The 15,814-nt window shown below is 38.4% G+C and overlaps 1 annotated feature.

Annotated features, from left to right (window-relative positions):
• Positions 14,155 to 15,354: an enhancer, noted in NCBI's record as "BRD4-independent group 4 enhancer chr13:34798824-34800023 (GRCh37/hg19 assembly coordinates)". NCBI's record gives its function as "activates an origin of replication core promoter dependent on BRD2, P300/CBP, MED14 and CDK7 cofactors, and independent of BRD4, by STARR-seq in HCT116 cells {active_cell/tissue: HCT116}" and the evidence as "EXISTENCE:reporter gene assay evidence [ECO:0000049][PMID:35650434]".

The raw sequence follows: 15,814 nt of genomic DNA on the forward strand, positions 1-15,814 counted from the left end.
AAATAATCTATCTTGGGCTGCCCAAAGTATTCTCAGACTTGTCAGTCTATGTGTCCTGATTTTTTTTTTTTCCAGAAAAGGTAGTCACTGGGCCTCCAATCACACAAGTATTGCAGTATCACATAAGTGGTTCTTTCATCATGTTTTTTTCAGGTCTATCTAGGGAGTGAGCAGATCTGCAGTGTGATTTAGAGAGCCAAAGAACACCATGCTTGCCATTCTTTGTATTTAATGACAACGAGAAATTCCGGTAATGAAAGGGGTAAGCAACAGCACAGCCTGTAAGCTTGTATTTTTAGCCTGTGTACAAGAGGCTCACAACCTTAATTTTCACAGCAACATAAATATTATGAGTATAATTAACCATGAATATTTGATGAAGTTTGAGAGCATTATCTGCACTTGCTTAATATCGCTGGATGTCATTCTAAATTCTGGATGCTTTTTAAGTATGGAAATATTCTCTTTGTGCTGCCAAATTTCTAAACAAATGCCTGGTGGAAAATTACACCTTAGCCAGAATAATAACCCAAGTAAATAGGTAATAATGGGTTTGTATTTTGCATATTAGCTTGACATACAGCGTTAAAATGTCCCAGGACATTAAATACTGAGTTTTTATAAAGAGAATTGAAATAGGCCTAATAGCCATGATTTATCCAAGAGACTGATGCATTACAGAAGAGTATTTTTTATATGTGAAAAAGAAATTTGTGCCCTGTTAGAATGCCAGGTATTCTCAAGTTGAAAATACACTAATTTGTAGTAAGCAACTGAATACGTATAGAATCTGGGGATGCAAACCTTGGTGGTCCACTATGTGCCTAGGGCAACTTAAAGCCAATCAGAAAGCAAGATGTGTGCTTACTGCAAAATTTTTCCTGATTTTGCTTTTTTGAAAATAAGAAAAAAAGTCTTCTTCAAAATATGCATTTTCTTTATTTGCACATTTTGTGAGTTACACTAAAAAGGGAATGGTCTCTAACAAAATGTGTTTTAAATGTTAAGGCCAAGTACAGCCATGTGCACTACCACAGACTTTCTTAGTCCTCAGAGGCAATTTTCTTCTTTGTGTCCATTGATAAACTCCTAAGGCTGTTGGGTAAGACTTGATGCTTCCCGTGACCTAGGCTCTGAGGATGTCTTAGATTGGCAGACTCTGGTAGATATGGTGGCTTAAAGATGGCTGCAGATTATTTTCTAGTTCTCCCACTGAGCGGAAGAGCCCAATATTCCTCTATCTGAATCTGGTCTAACCTTTGAAATGCTTGATTAATAAAGTATGGAGGAAGTGAGGCTTATGCTATTTCAGTCTAGCACTTAAGAGGATCAGAAGCTTCCACCTTGCTTTCTGGAACCACTGATTAAGCTGAAGCAATCTTTCTCCAAGTAATCCCAGGCCGCATGGAGAGGCCACATGTAGGTGCTCTTGTGAACAGGTGAAATTGCTCCAAGGGTCAGCATCAACTTCCAGCCATGTAAATGAGTCCAGTGACCTTGGACATCCAGCCCAGTCAAGCCTTCAGCTGACTCTGCCCCAGTCACCATCAGACAGACATGGCATAAAGAACACCAAGCAAGAACTGCTCAGCTGAGCCCAGGTTTTCCACAGAACCATGGGGATAATCATGAATTATCATTTGCACCATTAACTTGTGCAGCAAATTGTACTGTAGCTATAGATAACTAAAGCAGTAGGGGCAATGAAAATGTATCATAAATTTGAGAGATTTTTGCCTCCTCCTTTCCTGTTTCCCTCCCATCTTCCCTTAGTCACAAGTGAATGGGAACATCTAGCACAAGTATGGTCAGAGAACAAGCCTCAGATAAACACACTTGAAAGACATAGTAGAGAATTTAGAGACCGCTGATACCCATTGGTGCCTACAGCTTGTAGCACATAGTATTGTGAGATCCTGGGCTCTGGAGTCAGAGCTACCTTAGTTAAAACCTAGCACAAATCCCTACCAGCCATGGGTTCCTAGGTAATTTACATCATCTTTCTGTGTTCAGGTTTCCTCACCTAAACCGTAATGGACAAAGTGTATGTAAATCTCTTTAGAATAATAGTGCTGACATATAAGAAGAGCTCAATAAACCTTAGTTATTATTGTGGTAGTTGTTTTTGCTGTGATAGTGACAATGATACCTCGACACTCATAATTTGTATTTCCTATGCCAATTTCTGGCCTTTTTTATGTCAGACTCTGGCTTCTTTGAATCAAATAACAAACACTTCATGTTATCTTGTGGCCTTTGATTCAATTTGATTATATCAGTGTTCGTATAAGGCTTTTTATTTTATTTTATTATTTATTTATTTATTTACTTATTTTATTGAGACGGAGTCTCGCTCTGTCGCCCAGGCTGGAGTGCAGTGGCGCGATCTCAGCTCACTGCAAGCTCCGCCTCCCAGGTTCACGCCATTCTCCTGCCTCAGCTTCCCGAGTAGCTGGGACTATAGGCGCCCACCACCACGCCCGGCTAATTTTTTTGTATTTTTAGTAGAGACGGGGTTTCACCGTGTTAGCCAGGATGGTCTCGATCTCCTGACCTCGTGATCCACCCACCTCGACCTCCCAAAGTGCTGGGATTACAGGCTTGAGCCACCGCGCCCGGCCAAGGCTTTTTAAATATGTCATTTTGTATACAATATTTCAAATATATTTTATGTTTGTCGTTTTTATTTTTTAAGTGATTAAATACCAGAAAAATAAAATGCTTATAATGATAATACAGTAGAAATTTCAACTAAACTCTGCTTAATTAATTAATGGGATTAATCATCACTCTCTATGCTGCCTGGAATTGTAATGACTGATGTGATGACTGATGTTTAGGGCTGAGGCTGGCCTGTGCTATATCTAAAATTCTGCATATCAAGAATCAGTGGTGTTTGTTCACAAACCTATTTATGTCAATGTTCCTTATCATTATAATTACATAATTTAATCAAATATTATGCAATTTGTAATCTGTTAGTGTTAAAATAGTATTATTTGTATAACAAATAAATGGAATATTTTGAAAAGAATATAGACAAGTCACTAAAATAATATCAAATTAGGTGAAAGTGACACAACTGTAAAAAACTGGAAAGATAATCTAGAAGTATTTGGCATGCAGTTTCCTTCACAAGTATTTTTAAGTTCCTGCTGCTCTTTAAAGAAACAGAAACTGGAAATGGTTGGGGTGGGGGTGCAATATAGATATGATTTAGGAACAAAGTGAATTCATTCAACGAAAAGCCTTGGCTCTATACCAAAAGATTGGCAAGTTAATGTAGGTTTTCGTTTCAAGCTATTTTTCACCACTTTAATCAACTGTATTTATTAACAGACCAGTCCCTAATCCTAGTTGTGTCTGATAAATGGACTTACCAGTGGTATGTGGGTAAATGCTCAACAAGCAATTCTCTGAGGATGGGAAGGACACCTTGATTTGTAGTATTTACCAGCTCCCATGGTGTAAATATTATCACCATGGTTGATTTCAAGTTGTCATTGTGATATCAATCAGGTCACATAATTCCTAAAGATTTAACAGGGACTCTCTCAGGTTGGTACTATTCCAGAAGAGGAGTCATCAGGGGATACTGAGAGTAGCCCATGTTTAGAGTCAGTGTTCATTTGAGTTCAACTACCTGACCAGTTGTTCTTCAGTGAAGAGAACTCACAAAACCTAAAAGACACACATGAAACATATGATTGTGGAAACATTATCAAATGTCATAAAAATGATAAGTTAAAACCAAGCTATATAAAATTTCTATGATCCAGACACAGAGTAAATTTCCATTGAAATGTTGATCAAGATTCTGCTTGATACAAAATATAAAACCAGTATTCAACCTTCTTTAGCAACATTTTTCAGCATAAAAAAATGTATTCATTATTCTGGCAAAATGAGGGCTGGTATGTTTCCTAAATCTCACCTCTTATTAACTTTGGGAAGTGAATTTATGTTGTTGGATGTTAACGTTTGATTTATTAGTTATATTTTAAATAATCATGTAATATTGCATGACATTTGGGGATTTTCTTATATTTTTAGAGTTACAGGTACGGAAACACCACTCATGAGAATATCTACTTTTTATATTCAACATTCATATATACATATTTTCAGGAATGAATTATGTACAAAAGTAAGAAATGGATTATAATATTGTGAAAGGTCCCTTGTCTTTGAAGGATTAATTACTATACCCTTGGGTTCTGATTTAATAGAGTACAATGTTCTGATTTAATAGAGTACAATGATCAAGGAAAAGCAAAGAAGTTCCATAGAAAGAAAACTACTCCTATGAGCTTCTGCAAAGTCACACAGTACATTGTTAAGGGATACTGCTGACTCACCAGCCTTCTGCTTTCATTTGTTCTTCTGTAAGCATATGCATTATCCAAGCTTTCAGGAGAAATGTCACTAACAAATATTCTAACTATGTCACTCTATAAGAGTTTTAATATGAAAAGTCCCCAAGGCTAAATAAAGATGCTGCAGGTGGCACTATTTATCATGACGTACTTCTGAAGCGTAGTGATATTGGGCCACCTTACTGAACTCTAATGAACAATGTTCCCAAGGCAGGAGAGCTCAGGGATGACCGGAATCCATGGCTTAGCAATCCCACTCTTCTTTTGCTAAACAGAAAATGAGATTGTGCTCCTCTTCCATAGATAAGAAAACCCTCCCTCTACAACAGCCCTTACTCCCCTCTCCAGGCTCAAACCAAAGTGAAAGACCAGGAATAAATGCTAACACTGAAGTATGTTTTAACATTCAAAGACCTTTTTGCCACTAACATACAAAGACTCTGTGTGGAGTGGAGGTGTTTCATCCATAGGATCATAGGGTTGATTGTTTTTTAGATGGTGAAGTGGAAATCTAGAGAGCTGGAGTGACTTGCTCCTTCAGGACTGCCATGTTTAGTGGCAAGGTGTCTTGATACTTAGTGTAGTACTTGCTTCTACTTTTTTATTCCAGTGGAAGAGATGCCCACTTATGTGAACTACCTGGGACTGATTTTCTTCTCTCTCTTTTATATTTTCATGGAATAAGGGTTCTGCTACCCCAAGATACAATTAACACTCAGAGAGGCTTCAACTTATACAAGTTCACTCAGATAGTCAGTAGCAGAGTTGAGATTTCAACCTAGGTTTACCTGATTTCAAACTCCATGGACTTTCAACTACACATATTAACTCTAAGAATAACCGTGGTCCTGGTGACCTGCCTGCAAGCGTCTCAGGGTGGGATGGCAGTCATGGTGATGTACAGGCACTGCCCACTTGTCTCCAGCATGTGTACAGGCCTTGCCTTTCTTTCCAGGTCTCCCTGAGTTATGCCTCAGCTCACTAAAGCAAAAACTTCACTTCTTTCTCCACCTGGGTAAGTTTTCAATGGCCCTGCACAGAAGTTTAAGTTTTGAAATTCCATCTTTATTCTATGCCACATGTTTTAGTCTGTTCTCAGGCTGCTAATAAAGATATACCTGAGACTGGGTAATTTATAAAGGAAAGAGGTTTAATTGATTCCCATTTTCACATAGCTGGGGAGGCCTCACAATCATTGTGGATGGCAAAGCAGGAGCAAAGTCATGTCTTACTGGCAGCAGGCAAGAGGGCGTGTGCAGGGGTCCTCCCATGTATAAAACCATCAGATCTCATGAGACTTATTCACTACCACGAGAACAGTATGTGGGAAACCACCCCCATGATTCAGTTATCTCCCACCAGGTCCCTCCCATGACACGTGGGAATTATGGGAGCTACAACTCAAGGTGAGATTTGGGTGGGGACACAGCCAAACCATATCACCACAGCTTGGGAAGGAGGCAAGCATATGGCTGGGCCATGGTCTGAGAACAAAGATTCTTTCCTTCACCCCAGATCTCCTGAGGATTTCCTGCATATCATGCCATGGATATTGCCTTTGGTTACAATCTAGAGAATTTTTCTCATCGCTTTACATACGTAAAATTACAGCCAAGTTAGGAAATCGGTATGTGAGTCTAGACAAATGTATTTTGGAAATATGTAAAATATTTCCCAAATATTTGGAAATCATTCCAATGTTCTTTTTACCAGTTTATTTCTCTGAAATTCTTCAGAAATAAATAGGAAAAATGTATTGAGCATGCTTCAGAAAAATAAATAAGGCAAATCAAAAGGTTTAGTGACTTCTAATACAACATGGCCAAGAGGGCGCAGGGGGCACAAACTATGCCCTTCCATTAATTGTATCCTGTGTAGCATTCACTGAAACACCCAAAGGCTCTCTATTATAACAGTAAAAAGGATGCATTCGGTTAGAGTTAACTATGTTCTAACTAAACAGGATTTCTAGCTTGAAAACTAAGCAAGAATTCTTGATCAATTTGGAGTTTTAATCAGGCCTTCCAGCATTAGGAGTAGATTCTGATGGAGGCAGCACGAAGTTGTCCTACATCAATGGCTGAAGAATGCTCCTTGGTGTGTGTGTGTGTGTGTGTGTGTGTGTGTGTGTGTATGTGTGTCTAACAGAGGAGAGAGAGGAAAAGGGAGGTGAACGGTTGCAATGGGCATGGCATCTCCCCAGATCCTGCCTCCTGTCCTGTTCCCTGTCCTTGGCCCATGTCTATTTTGTGCTGGAAGCACAGGCACAGGACAGTGGCTCCCCTAATCAAGATGGGGAGGGAATCAGAGCCCTCAACATAATTTGTGGAAAGGGGATAGGTACAGAGAGAGTAATGGATGGAATGTGTTTCTAGGTTTCCCTACAAATTTTAAGAAACAATGGCTACTGATTAATAATAAAACACACAAAAAAACTAATAATAAAACACAAATTACTGGCTTCATTTTTCTTTTTTTCAGCTTCTGTTAGCAAAATTGTTTGCGTTGAGGTGCACATGAGAAATACCCAAACTGTTTGCCTACCGTGAGTCCTCTTGGGACTCGCTGGCCGCCTGAATGTATTTCTTGTTTCCCAGGAGGCCAATGATTTGCACAACACATCCTTCCCCAGACCCCAAAGCCAAACATTGACATATTCCAGCAATCAGCTCACATTGCCTCCATCCAGGAAGCTTTCTTTGTGCACTGAACTCGAAGAATCACTGAGTGCCCTCAGATAAACTTAACACTACTCATCTTTCTCAGTTTAAGATGTGTACTGTGGAACGGAAGTGTTTTGTTAATGCTTAGCATGACATGAAAGCTGTTTCTGCATTTTCCCATCGTACATTTCTACTGTCTTTAGCTCAGCATCTTTATGCGATGGGGAGAGATCCCACACAATGCACAGATGGAGTGGGAATGGAGGCAAATTTCTATGGGGCTCAAAACTCATTCTGCCATATGCTGTTCTCTCTCCTTCCGAATTCTGTTGAGCGCACCACCGCTGGTTGGCACAGAGTGACAAAGATGGAGAGGCTTTAATCAGTTGAGTCTTCCATTTCTAGCCATTTCAATAACTCCTTTAGGTAAAAAGGCCAGTGTCAATTCGAGTTATTTATATGAATAAAAATCCTGTTTCTCTCCTCTGTAAATTAATTGTTCCAGGAATTCTGTGTGATCCCGAAAATGTAAGCATTTAGAATTAGCCTGTTTTATGTAATACAGAAATGATTTTAAAAGTCTGACAAATTAAGGTATAGTTTTATTAGCTGTCAGTCAGTCTTTCTTTCCTAGAATGTTCCAGTGAGAAATGACATTCTTTATGTCTCTGCACAACTTAAATTACAGGCCTGCTTATTTTTTATTTTCAACATAAATAAAATTTATTATTATCAGAGCAGTAGTGAATCCCAGCTTTTAGTACTTATCAGACTTGTATAGAGAGAAAGAATTTTGTTCTTATGCTTTCTGGGAGCTTTTTGAAACCTTTTATTCCAGCTTTGATTTTTTTTATTACTTTTTTATTTCCTTCTACGATTTTTCTTTCATAAGTTGTGTGATAATGTAACAAAATTACCATTAAACTCCAAATTCCTATATTCATATCCATATATGCTCCATATATGCCCCATATTCATTGCTCTACTTTGATAGTTTCTTTCAGATAAATTACATGTCGATGAGTTTTCAAGGGACTGACTTTTAAGTTTCAAAGGGGATCCCACTCCTGTCAAACTAACAAGTTAAAATAACATTGTTATGGGCCTCTGATACCCAAAAGACTTTTCTAGGCATGAGAAAAAACTAATTATAATAACTTTTACCAGATTTTTTCAGCTTTGTCGCCATTACCTGAGTTCATTTCTACAATCATATTAATAGCCATGCAGCCAAGTATAGTGACTAGTCCTCTCTTAGTCTGTTTTCTGCTGCTATAATAGAATACCACAGACTGGGTAATTTATAAAGATCAGAAGTGTATTTGGCATATGGCTCTGGAGACTGTGAAGTCCAAGAGCATAATGCCAGCACCTGGCCAGGGTCATCCCACTGTGGAAGGCATCACAAGGCAAGCAAGCTTGAGACACAGACAGAAAATGGTGTCAAACTCATCCTTTTATCAAGAGTCCACTCCTATGATAACTAGCCCAGTATGGCAATGATGTCTTTAATTACTCCATGAGAATGGAGCTCTTATGACCTAATCATTTCTTAAAGGCCTCATCTCTTAATACTGTTATAATGGCAAGTAAATTTCCAACACATGAGCTTTCGGGGGACACATTCAAACCATGGGAAGTCCCATGGACTAAGAGTGGACCAAGAGGTATTTTGTGGGAAGAGGCAGTTGTTCTTCCCACAGACTACAAAGTCTACTTTGAGAGATAAGTGAGGAATCCCAGATGATCTTAATTTATAGTATCCAAAAAAACAATTATCTGAAGCTTAGAAGCAAAAGAAATCACCATATGTTCTTTCTAGGCTTGACTTTCTGTCGTTGGATTATTTTACATCTTGTAGAAACAAGAGTCAACTGATAGATTTTTGTCCAGTAGAAATATAACTAATTTCTGTTCAAATATTCCCAAAAGTATGTTTATTGCTCTCTAAGACTTTAATCAGTTTTGTATCATACATAGCAGTAAAGTTACTCTAGAAATTCTAGCTTTTACAATGCTTTTGGACTGGATTTTACATTGTATTGGTTCTCTCTTTATTTTTAAATTAAATTTAATTTTTTGAAACAGGGTCTTGTTCTGACACCAGGCTGGAGTGCAGTAGCGCAATCACCAATCACAGCTTACTGCAGACTGGACCTCCTGGGCTCAATCCTCTCGCTTCAGCCTCCAGAGTAGCTGGGACTACAGGCACACACTACCATGCCTGGCTAATTTTTAAATATTTTGTAAATGGGGGTCTCTTTATGTTGCCCAGGCCCGTCTCAAACTCCTGGGGGCAAGTGATCCTCCGTTTAGGCCTCTCAAAGTGCTGGGATTACAAATGTAAGGAACCATCCCTGGCCCTTGGTCCTCTCTTTAATATGTTAAATAATATATTTGACACATGTTTACTTTATATCTGTATGAGAGTCATGATGTTACCTTTTTGAAACTTATGCTTTAATAATTATGTCACCTCATTGTGGATTCAACATTTATTTATTTATTTTAGCATTTCCCAAACCTACTCATATTTCTTTGTTTGGTCTATTTTCTAAATTCATGTTTTACTTCTGTAAACTTTGTATATTTTATTTGACTTTGCATTATCTCCTTAAAGTTTAAAGGAATGCTTCAAAATTCTGTTTTTCCGGTATTGTGCTATTGAATTCAGATCATGTACCACACCATACTCAACCTTTAATGTCAGAAAAGTTTTAATTTTTTTTTTTTTACATTTGACCCCCTTAGGAACCACCTCTTTCTCTTGACTGCTTTTCACTAGATCTTCTCTAGGTTTCTTATTTCTTTCTGGAAGGTAGGTGAAGAGAACCTTTTTTTTCTGGGCATGGCCAAGAACAAAATTACCACAGAGGAAAAAAAAAGGAAGAATCATTATGCTGTCTAGGTACTTTAACACTCTTAACTTTATCAAATCTTCACAGTACCCTGGTGGGCTCTATGAAGTATTACCATTCACAGATGAAGTAATTGAGATCACAAAGGGCTAAGTGACTTGCTTGGTCCCGTATATCTGATGAGTGGTAGAACCTAAATCCAATCCTAGTTTCTTCCCAAGACTATGTGCTTTCTGTTACTCAATATCACTTGAACTCATTCTACATTCACATTGTGATTAACCTGCTATAGACACTACAGGATGATGAGCCCCTGTGTAGACTGAACAAGGTGCTGAACATTGATACCCTGTGCCAAAGTTGCTTATGGTGCAGGATCGTACTTTCAAGCTTAACAGTCTTTGGGACACAGCAAGCTTTGCCTTTCTTTCTTTCTTGTTTTCATTTTGACACTCTTTGATGAGCACCTAGCTTTTACTCTTACACTCATGGGCTGGAGTATTGTAGCAGGAGGAAGGACCTATGCAGTGGCAGGTAATTGGGCATTGGTAGATGTGGATATTGACACCAGGTGGTCCCAACAAATGGGCTGGTTTGGACATGAGAAAGGTATTGAAAGTGAAATGAGCCAGGCTTGTTAAATATAGCAAGATATATGAAACAGCAACCCAAAATAACACCATTTGTAGCCATTATTCACATATGCCCTTAATTTGTCAATCTGATTGGATTTTTATGACATTCTGATTTCCCTTTTGTTTCTCTTTTATATGAAGCAATCTTTACTTGCTGAAAGAGCCTCTGCAGACTTAAATAGTGATCAATTAGTTGGGTCCACCTTCAGCACCACCTATAGTAAAAGAGATCACCCTACTCTTCCTCAGTTCCATCCAAATAGAATTATAAAATTGTAGAATTTTAAAAATGAGGTAATTAAATTAAAGGATGCAAAGAATGAAAAATATTTTATATAGTTCGGTAGCTGTGTTTTTAAGGAATTCAAATGAAATTTTGAAATCAAATGTCTTTTACCATTCACGTATTTTGTCTCTCAACTCAATGTTTTTTTTTTGTTGGCTTAAAAAAAGATTTCTGTGCTAAGGACAGTGAAGTATAGATAATGTGCAAATTTCCTTTCAGGAAATGTGAATGGATGAAGATATGTTTCTAATTTTCAGAACAAATGAGCTTCATTTTCAAGACTTTTAGTTGTTACTAACCCTGCAACTTTGCTTAGAGAAGATATTCAGGGCAAAACATTTCTATGAGAGTCATGAGAAAAATGATGAATCATTTCAATTCCAATGTGGAAATTATTTTTCTCTAGCTTTACTTGTACTGCACAGAGAACTTTACACCTGCTGCACAATATATTTTATCTTGTGTTTAAGAGAATAGAAAAGATGCTGCTATTTATTTCCCCAAATACTACTTTGCATCTGCATTCCCCTCCCTAACAGAATTTCAGCCCAGCCTGAAATGAAGGTCACGTCAAGTACCAAAGCTATTTCAATTCCAGAGATGGATAATCACATCGGCTATTCCAGTTATAAAAAAGTGTTGCATGAAATCATGCACTCACATCTTGTACTAGAGAGAGAGCCTACTAGTTGCCATCAGGTATTTAGGAGATATTTTATTGCTATCTTAAGAGGATTAATATCTTAAGATTTTGCTATCTAAAAATCTTCAGCTCATTAGTAAAAATATGATGATGTTAAGTGATTTAGCACTAATGAAAAATAAGACTTCCTGTAAAAGACATGGGAAATTATTTGATCCTGCTCCTTGCAACTGAGTAAAATCAAAAGTTTTTACTTAAACAATGAATACATGGTGCAATTAGCCATTAATCTTTTGTTTTCATGTAGATTCATTCACCCAGTTTACCAGAACAATCAAATCCTAAGCAGGCTTAATTTAATTAATGCCCAAAGACATTTAGTAAACACCTATCTCATCCAACAGGTGCTCTCGTGACATAAAGAACATAATTCAGCACCCTTCTTGGGACCCACCAGGACCTAGGTGTCTGGTGCCTGCTAAATTTTGTCTCTGTCTTTCTCACTTGATCTGTTCCAGTTACATCATTTCTGTCCTTAAAAACTCCAAGATTTTTTCCCACCTCAGGATATTCATATTTGCCTTTTCTTTGTCTGAAACACTCTTTTTGAGGCTGACATCTTCTGTTTCTTTGTCTGAAACACTCTTTTTGAGACTGACATTTTCTTATCATTTAAGATTCGTCTTGAAACTCAACTCTAGAGTTCATGGCCAATGGAACTGGACCCTCCCAAACTCACCTACAGTCATCCTTTATTCCTTTCCTCTGTTTTATTTTCTTCTTATGAGTTGCCACTATTTAAAATAGTCTAGTTTACTTCCTTATATATTGCTTATTTCCAAAGTAGAACAAAAATTGCAGAGAAAGGAGGAATCTCGTGTGTCTGGTTTACATCAGCATCTAGGACTATGTCTCACTCACAGTATGTACTCAAAAAGACATAGGAAAACGTAATTGGGAGCTTATAAATTTAGAATAAGAGAGATAAAATATATATTTATTCTATAAAGTAGAAGTAGAAAGTCCTTCAAGAGAATGGAAATGCTAGCAGCAATTCCCATGAGGAAAGACTAGTTTCCAACTGCAGAATCAGATGGCTTTATCAAAAAAGGTATTATTATTTCAACTGTGCGATGAAATGGGTACATTTTTACATAAAGATAGAAGGGAAAGGTGGTCTAAGTCTTTTCAGAGACACCAAGGTTACAGGAAAGTCCTGAGGAAAGGCTGAGAAGAGACAATAACTGAGGTTTGCTTAAGTGGGTAGATGACTTCATGTGGAATCAGAAATGTTTCATATTCTGGCTCCAACATGCTGTATCTGAGTTACTGTCATGGGATGAATTATATCTCCCTCCCCCAATTCATATGTTGAAGTCCTAACACCTAGGACCTCAGTAAATGACTATATTTGGAGACAGGCCCTTTAAAAGGGTGTTTAAGTTAAAAAGGGCCTGTTAGGATGGGTCCCAATCCAATCTGACTGGGGTCATCACAAGAAGAGGAGATTAGGACACACACAGAGAGGCACCAGAATGCACAGGAACAGAGAGAAAACCATGTGAGGACTCAAGGGAGGAGGCACCTGTCTACAAGCCAAGGAAATGGGCCTCAGAGAAACCCACCCCGCCAACACCTTGATCTTAGACTTTCAGCCTCCAGAACTGTGAGAAAATAGCTCTTCGTTGTTGTCGTTTAAGCCACCCAATGTAGTAACACAGTTACCTTGAAAATTTTAACCTATATTTGTTTTCTCATTTGCAAAGTATTGATAACATCACAAGTTAGTAAAAGAATCAAATGAGGCAATAGTCATTAAAGTTCTAAAACTGAAATAAATTTAAGACTAGAAGGCATCTTAAAAATAGTCACAGTGGTTGATTTTAATTTTTCTTGCCTCTTTCTCCTGCCTTCAATAGCAGCAAGAACTCTGGGATTGGTCCTGTTTAATACCTGGGTAACACAGCTCACAATCCCAAGCCTTTTCCTGGAAGGAGATATCATATCTGTGTTAGAGAAAGGGCTGGAGGGAGTAGTCAGGGTAGAAGTCAGAAGTAAAAACAAGCTCACTTGTTTATGCTACTCTTTGTTTCTGCTCACGTCTTCCATATGTGTCACCCTCAACGGTGAATAACACTGCAATGATGATACAGCATTGCATTTCTGCCTGTCCTTCCCTCTAGACTATGAGCTTCTTAAGGATCAACTCTCTATATCCCCAGCATCCATGCTTGGATCAAGGTTGGCCCTCACATGAGTCACTGAAATATTTGCTTTGTACTCTCTATTTATTGTAAGAGGAAGCATACTCTAGTTAAAAGCTTACAGTCAAACAATCCTGAGTTTGAGCCCAGAATACACACTTTTTCACCTCTATGACCTTGAGTACTTGCAGATCCTATTGGAGATCTAGTTTTCACTCTTGGTAATTCAAGATGGCGATAACCACCTCATCACTGGCTTTAAAGATTAAACTATATAATATATGTAAAGCATCTGATACAGCCCTAGTATCTAGTCAATGTTGAATATTGCATTTTATTATTGTTGCTTTCAGTATTATTCTTGTTTACTCATTTTATACCAATGTGATCTGCTTACATGTCATATCTTTGAGAAAAAGGTCTATATAATTTAATTTTATCTCTACTATACCATGTGTAACCAGCACTTTTCATTGATTAGTTGATTTTTTAATCTAGCAAGATTGTAATGAGACTAATGAGAGCTCATTTCTCCCTGTAAATAAATCTGTAGGTAATCAGGAGCTCAGTGTCCGTTTGGTAAAAAAGCTTTCCTTGATCAAAGTCACTGATCAGAATTATAATGACAACCCATGCTTCTGTTTCTCTTTTGGTTCTTTGATTACTTATATATAAATTGAGTGAACTAAACCAGACAGCCAGATCACAGTGAATTTTATTTAATTACGTGCAACTTGTTCACTTATACATTTTCCTCTGTTGAGACAATCCAGAAGCTACTCAGGATACTTATTTGCTTATTCCTCTAATTAAGCAAAGCTATCTATAGCCTAGAATGCTAATCTAAAACTGCATTTTGTTTCTGCAGCAATGATCTCTGTCCAACCCCACAGCACATTCCGGCATTTGCACTGTGCCGTGGACGCCGCTGCATTGTGCATGCTCCAGGCTATGTTTGTGGACAGTCACGTCGCCGCGGAAGTCAAGCTCATTTGTCATCCTTGCTAGGCACTTGCAGGGCTGCCTGAAGAGAAAAATATCTGAAAGCAGGCAGTGACGAAGGTAAAGAAGAGACTCAGGAGTGGAAGGGCAGAAGGGGGCTGTGGGGGTGGATGTACGGAACCAGGCATATCTGAGTCCCTGGAAGGACAGGCTCCTGCGTCATAATTCTGCTTCTGATGGGAGGCCTTCGCAGTGACAAACCTGGGCCTTCTGGCTCTCCGTATGTCTTAGACCTCATTTTGAAACAGGTTATTGCAGTAATGGCCCCCGATTTGTCCACATCTCCCCGTATCCACACCCTTAGGTAATCCTTTCCACACTGACTCGGAGCTGGGATGGTAGCAAATACGATTCAAGCAGAGACTTGAAAAGGGCTTGTGGGTTGGGGCTTACTTACTTGTTTCTCTTGGAACTCCGTGACTCTCATGTGAATAAGCCTGGAATAAACTCCTCTAAAATGAGAGACCACATAGAGAGAGAGGCCCTTATCATCCCAGCCATCCCATCCGAAGCCTTCATAAACCAGCCAACTCTAGACAACTCATCAGTCTCAGCAATAAACCCAGTTAGGAACAGCCAGGCCAGGCCCAGAGCAGAAGAATTGCCCAGTTGAGCTCAGCTCCAAGGTACTGAGCTGCACACTTGTGTGCTGAATAAGTGACATGGTGCGTTACAAGGCAAAAGATAACTGATAAATGCCTTAATACTTGGCTTGCCTATCCATTTCAGAAATAATTCCAATTCAGTCTTTCATGAATGTTTTCACGGTTTCATTTGGAAAATTCTGCTCTAAAAATTATAAAGGGGTGAAAATATAAGGCAACTTAGTATACTATCACCATTTGAGAAGGGTATTTTCTAAAACAGTCTCTCCTAGTAACTTTCAGAGGTATTTGTGAGGTGAAATGAGAGTGGGGAAGAGACTTCTAAAATCACGTTGCTAAAAGAAAGTGGCATCGCTTAGCAGCAACATTTCAAAACCAGAGAATCTTCAAATATTCTAGCTTATCCACATATTTGTGTATCACAAATGTGATATGATGGACATTTTCACTGTTGCAGGAAAATCAGCCCTGACTCTCTTGTCTCGTACTTAAATATGATTCTTAATGGACCTACATTTCAAACTCCTGGATCCCTTCTCAAG

This window comes from Homo sapiens, chromosome 13 (assembly GCF_000001405.40).
Source record: "Homo sapiens chromosome 13, GRCh38.p14 Primary Assembly".
Lineage (NCBI taxonomy): Eukaryota > Metazoa > Chordata > Mammalia > Primates > Hominidae > Homo > Homo sapiens.